The sequence below is a fragment of the Homo sapiens genome, chromosome 7, assembly GCF_000001405.40.
Source record: "Homo sapiens chromosome 7, GRCh38.p14 Primary Assembly".
In the NCBI taxonomy this organism is placed as follows: domain Eukaryota; kingdom Metazoa; phylum Chordata; class Mammalia; order Primates; family Hominidae; genus Homo; species Homo sapiens.
Genome location: NC_000007.14, coordinates 92,632,603 through 92,638,205, shown reverse-complemented (window position 1 = coordinate 92,638,205; position 5,603 = coordinate 92,632,603). Strand labels below are relative to the sequence as shown.

General features: G+C 34.7%; 1 protein-coding gene across 3 annotated transcripts in view; it reads left to right on the top strand.

Moving 5' to 3' along the window:
- Nucleotides 1–5,603, top strand: part of CDK6 (cyclin dependent kinase 6) — a 231,653-nt gene that overhangs the window by 198,368 nt on the left and 27,682 nt on the right. The window lies entirely within an intron of this gene.

Here is a 5,603-nt window from a genome sequence, read left to right as displayed (position 1 = left end):
TACTAAAAGTTTATTTTCTATATCTTTTGGAAAATTTATAAATTTCCATATAAAGAAAATGAAAATGTCTTTTAAATTTTTTAGCATGCAAAACCACAGTAATCCAAAGTATACATTAGTTATGAGCTAAAATTATACCATCTGAAGGTGCATTTTATGAGCAATGCATACAATGTCTATTAACAAATTATACCAACATGTTATTTGTAATACGTTAAATACTTTTACTCATAATGCTTTGTAAGCTTTAAAGGGCCCTACTTAATTAGATGGGATAAATGAACACAGCACAAACTTTCATTTTTTTTTAATGCCTTTCAGCAAGTGATCAAATTTTGAAATTTATCTCAGCGTTCTCTTTTTTCCTGCTTCCCCAAAACATGGTAATCACCTTGTATGTATACCATTGGCCTTGTCGTTGGCTGTTATTGCATAGTAGATGTTGAGTTTTTAAATTTGATATTTGATCTTGACTTAACCTAAGTCTCAGTTTCTCCCTTTGAAATGAGGATAATGATATTTACTTAGCAGAGTGTTATTAGGAGTAAATGAGACAACATATGTGAAACAAAGCAAAGCAGCCCCTTTCCTGTAATAAGTGTTCAGTAAATTGAATTTATTATTATTATTAGCTGTTGATGTTGAAGAAAAGTTATTTACTCAACACTTTTTAGGTCACACTGGTTTTTATCTACTTAATTTCTTAAAAATAATGATCTTAAGGTGAAATTCTCTTACATATTTCCTTAAAATTCATTCAGGATTTTTATCTAGCCAAAAGTGATCAGAAGTTATTTTATAGTTTGAAAGAATCTGAATTTCATTTTCAAGGAAAATGTGTCCCTCAGTTACAATGCCAAGACTACGAGTGATGATCAAGAAGTCTAACTGGTCAGTAATTAAACTTTATATTGGAAGTAGACATTTATTTGCTTAATATTCCAAAATCTGACTAAATTGTTTTCTAAATTCAAAAGGAGTTTTTGAGTAAAACAGTCAGTTGCTATTTAACCCGTAGGTCTGTAAAACCTGGCAGCCCTCTGTGGCCACATAGTCTTAAGTACAGTATAGAAGAAATACCTCCCAAGGCTTTTGTTTTATGTCTACATATTCATCTCTTTCTAAAACCGTAAGTGTAGCAACATGTGGCTGCATTTTTAACAACTTTTATTGCACTTTCATATTAAAAAGCAATATACCAGCAAAATTTTTGAAGTTTTCATTTAGGAAAATACAATCGGGCTGGGCGCAGTGGTTCACACACCTAAATCCCAGCACTTTGGGAGGCCGAGGTGGGCAGATCACCTGAGGTCAGGAGTTCGAGACCAGCCTGGCTAACATGGCAAAACCCCATCTCCACTAAAAATACAAAAATTAGTCAGCATGGTGGCGCATGCCTGTAATCCCAGCTACTTGGGAGGCTGAGGCAGGAGAATCGCTTGAACCCAGGAGGCAGAAGTTGCAGTGAGCCAAGATTGCGCCACTGCACTCCAGCCTGGGCACTCCGTCTCAGGGGAAGAAGAAAACATATTTCATAAATATTTTATCTTTTTTAACATATATTTTTACCAAAATGTAATTATTTATTCCTGTACATGCTGTTTTTTATCAAATGCTGTTTCATTTCTTATGAGTGACATAAAGCCTTTGCCGGTGATATTTTTCTCTTATAGTTATAAAATCAAAAATATGACAGAGAGTTGTACCTCTCTAGAGAATGTATAATGCAAATGGATCTTATATATAATCATATCCCCTCAGCCTTCTCATTCTTGTAAGTTCATTTGCTTCATAAATAAACTAAATAGTTTGTACTGAAACCAGAAGTTGACCTTAATATTTGTGTTGGCTGGGCACAGTGGTGCACGCCTGTAATCCCAGCACTTTGCGAGGCTAAGGCAGCAGATCGCTTGAGCTCAGGAGTTCGAAACCAGCCTGAGCAACATGGCAAAACCCTGTCTCTACAAAACAAAAAATACAAAAATTAGCCTGGTGTGGTGGCATGCCCCTGTGGTCCCAGCTACTCAGGAGGCTGAGGTGGGTGAATGATTGACCCAGAAAATGGAGGCTTCAGCAAGCTGAGATCACTTCACTGCACCCCAGCCTGGGCAACAGAATGAGATCTTGTCTCAAAAAATAATAATAATAACAAATTTAAAAATATTTCTTATAACTTTTTTTTAAATGTGCTACGGATAGATTGCATTTAAATACTTGATAAAATAGTATTGTTTAGAAATCATGATTAGCAAAACTGATTACAGCTCCTGCTCTTATCACGTCCCTGACTATGTCTAAGTTACAGAATCTTCTCAGCCATAGTCCTCACCTAAATAAGGAAACGCATTTATCCCCTTATTTGTCATTTTCCTAACTTCATCATCTATAAAGTTTTCTTAGTGATCTTTTTAAATAGCACAGCACGGTATCATGGGTAAATTAAATCTAGAGATTTGGGCCAAAGATAGGACCAAAATAACAGCATTGAATTTTCCTTGCATATTTAGTCATAATGAAACAAGGAAAAGAAACCACAGGACAGAGAAAAAGGAGAAGGAAATACAGTATTAAGCAAAAATAAATAACTTTGGAACGAGTAACAGTTCATTCTATTTGTTCTTGATTGGTAGCCTTACTTTTACTGAGCAGGTTAATTTTATTTCTCAGCAGTTTTAACTGCTTCATTCACATGGTTTATTATTTTGTGTTATTTTCTTCCATGATATGGAGTACGACAGAAGCTGTGATATCTGTTTTTTAGCAGATGAGCAGAGATTAAGTGGCCTGCCTGCACTCTGGGATTTATTTGTTAATCAGTTACAGAGCCAGCACTAAGAGCTGGATCTTCTGTCTCCTGGTCTATACTCCTTTCCATAACATGTGGTAAAGTGCTTCTCCCTTGTTCTGAAGAAATCCCTACAGGGAACCTAACACTGCCCTGATCTGGAAACAACATTGTTACCTGACAGGCCGGTTTGCCAGGGTGACCATTCTTAAGTGTTTTAGGGAGCTAGGATTAATCTTTTTTTCCCAAGAGGAAGTAGCAATAAACTGTGCACCAAAAATAACGCTTTAGCTGCTAAATTCTGCTTAGTAGGTGGTTTCCCAAAGATGATCCAATGCAATGAGTCATCCCTCTGAGCACTTACTGCACATTATTTCTTTTTACTAATCCTCGGTGCTTTTGGTTGCATGTTTTTTAACCTTTAGAGCCCTCCTGGGAGGTTCAGAGTCTTCTCACTATGAATATAAAACAGACTCTACTACATCCCCCCACATGTCCCTCTTGTCCTTTACTTCCTATACTTTTCAAATCTAAGATAATCCATCACTTAGGAGAACAGTCAGGATCATGTCCAAAGATAAAAGATCAGCAGTAAGTTTCTCCAGAGTTAGCAGCAGCTCCATCTCATTCCCAGTATAAAAATCAAAAATGTAGATGGATGTAAGTCAATGTGTAGAACCCATATCAAGAAAACTATAAAACTTGATTGAGATACATAAAAATGACTTTCCTAGATATAGAGAATATTTGATTATTAGAAAGATATTAAATATTCCATTTTCCTGAACAGGAAGATTGAATAGTTGTAAGGATATAAAAGGTTTCCAAATTAATTCATAGGTTTATGCAACTCCAGTCAGAATTCCAGTGGGATTTCCTGAAATGCATTTGGAAGAGTTAAACTGGTGAAAATAGCCAAGAATTTTTTGTTACCAAAAAAAAAAAGTTATGAAGAGAAACTCCTGCTACCAAGCACTAAAATACATTATGCAACTACAGTAATAAAAATAATGTGGTACCAGCAGAAGTGACAGACATTAATGGAACAGAATAGAGAATGAGACTTGAAACCCTAATTTAGGAAGTGATGCAATTTATCATAAATCACAAATCTGGGAGGACAGAACGGCATATGCAACAAATGAGAATAGGGTAATTGGTCAATTTCATGGGGGAAAAATGGTAACCTGATTAGATTCTCACTATTCCTCACCACAGAGCAAATGACAGATGGCTTAAAGAGTTACATATTAAAAGTGAAGCCATAAAAGAATAAAGAAACTATAGGAAGTATCTGTGACCCTAGAATGGAGATATATTTTCAAAGCATTAAGAAGTCACAAACAAAAATACTAATATATTTGATTATATAAAAATTGAAAACTTTTGTTCATCAGAAAATAAAAACACTGCCAAGTTAAAAAGCATGTGATAATCTTGGAGAAAATGAATGAATATGACAAAGGTGTAATATCCTTAATGAATAAAAGAGCTCTTAAAATTAATTGGAAAGCCACTAGCACACCCCACTGTAGCTACACTACATTCCTATCACACTGTGTACATATCACAGTGCTAAATCATTTTATACTCATAATACAGTTCAGATGACACAAGACAGTATTAGAAATTCAGATCTTATTTTCCATTCACATATTCTTTGTCCAAAGGCAGTTTAAGGAAACTAACACATTACATTATGCTATAAATACTTCAGAACAGTTTGTCCACATTGACACTTCCATTTCCTAAAATGAAACCCTCGCTGGCCCACAGAGGGAAAAAAAAAAAAAAAAGGCTAGCTTTGTTAACCAGCTTTATTTCAACAAGCACATCCACATGGTAAGAACTTCCTCTGATGAGTCATCCACAGTTGTCAAACACCAACTTTCCTTTGTTTGGCCCATGCAGAAATCAGGTCTGTGGAAGCACAGTTCAAGAGTCTGAATCATTTAATTGTGTTTTATTCATATCTGAATTTGCATCTGTCACAAACCCAATGTGTCCACCGTGAAAAATTGCATCCTTCAAATATTACTGAACAAAAAACCCTATTCAAATAGGTCTGTTCTGTCTAGATTGTCTGTGAAATTTCTGAGGAATGTTGTGGGCTCTGTTTCCTGTACCAAATTGTTGAGTTATCACACATCATTGGATTCTACCCAAAGTGTGCTGGATAGGCATATTATATTCAGACAGGATACCAGTTGTCTTTACCATTCATAAAGGAAAAAGAAAAGATTACTCCTGCTCCCTGCCATAAGATATAAACTAAGAAGTGAAAATGTGTGTACCCATAGTTTTTTTAATGTGTCCTTGATTTCTTTTCTTCACCAAGATTTGAGTTTTATTCAGTCATAGCTTTGTTATGCACTTTCTTGTCACCCTGTACTTGTTCAAAACTAAGGACTATAGTCAAGACTCAGATCCTGCCCTGGGATTGGTGCCATCTTAGCTTGTTTGGAAAAAAAAAAAAAAAAAAAAAAAGATCTTTAGAGATACCATCATATCCATTTGTATATAAAAAGAGAAAAGAATGGAAGTGATGCTGTGTAATTTATTTTCATCTATTTACTCTATTTTCCAAATTTTCCACAATGCGTATATATTTTATAATCAAGATAATCTGTTACTTTTTAAATTTTTTATTTTTAATTTTTGTGGATACATAGTAGATATATATGGGGTACATGAGATGTTTTGATATAGGTATGCAATAATTTGTTATTTTTAACAGTACCCATGATGAATCATTCAAAATATAAATTCAGTAAATAAGCTTTTTGAAAAAGTTAAACTTGCTGTTGGGCCAGTAAAA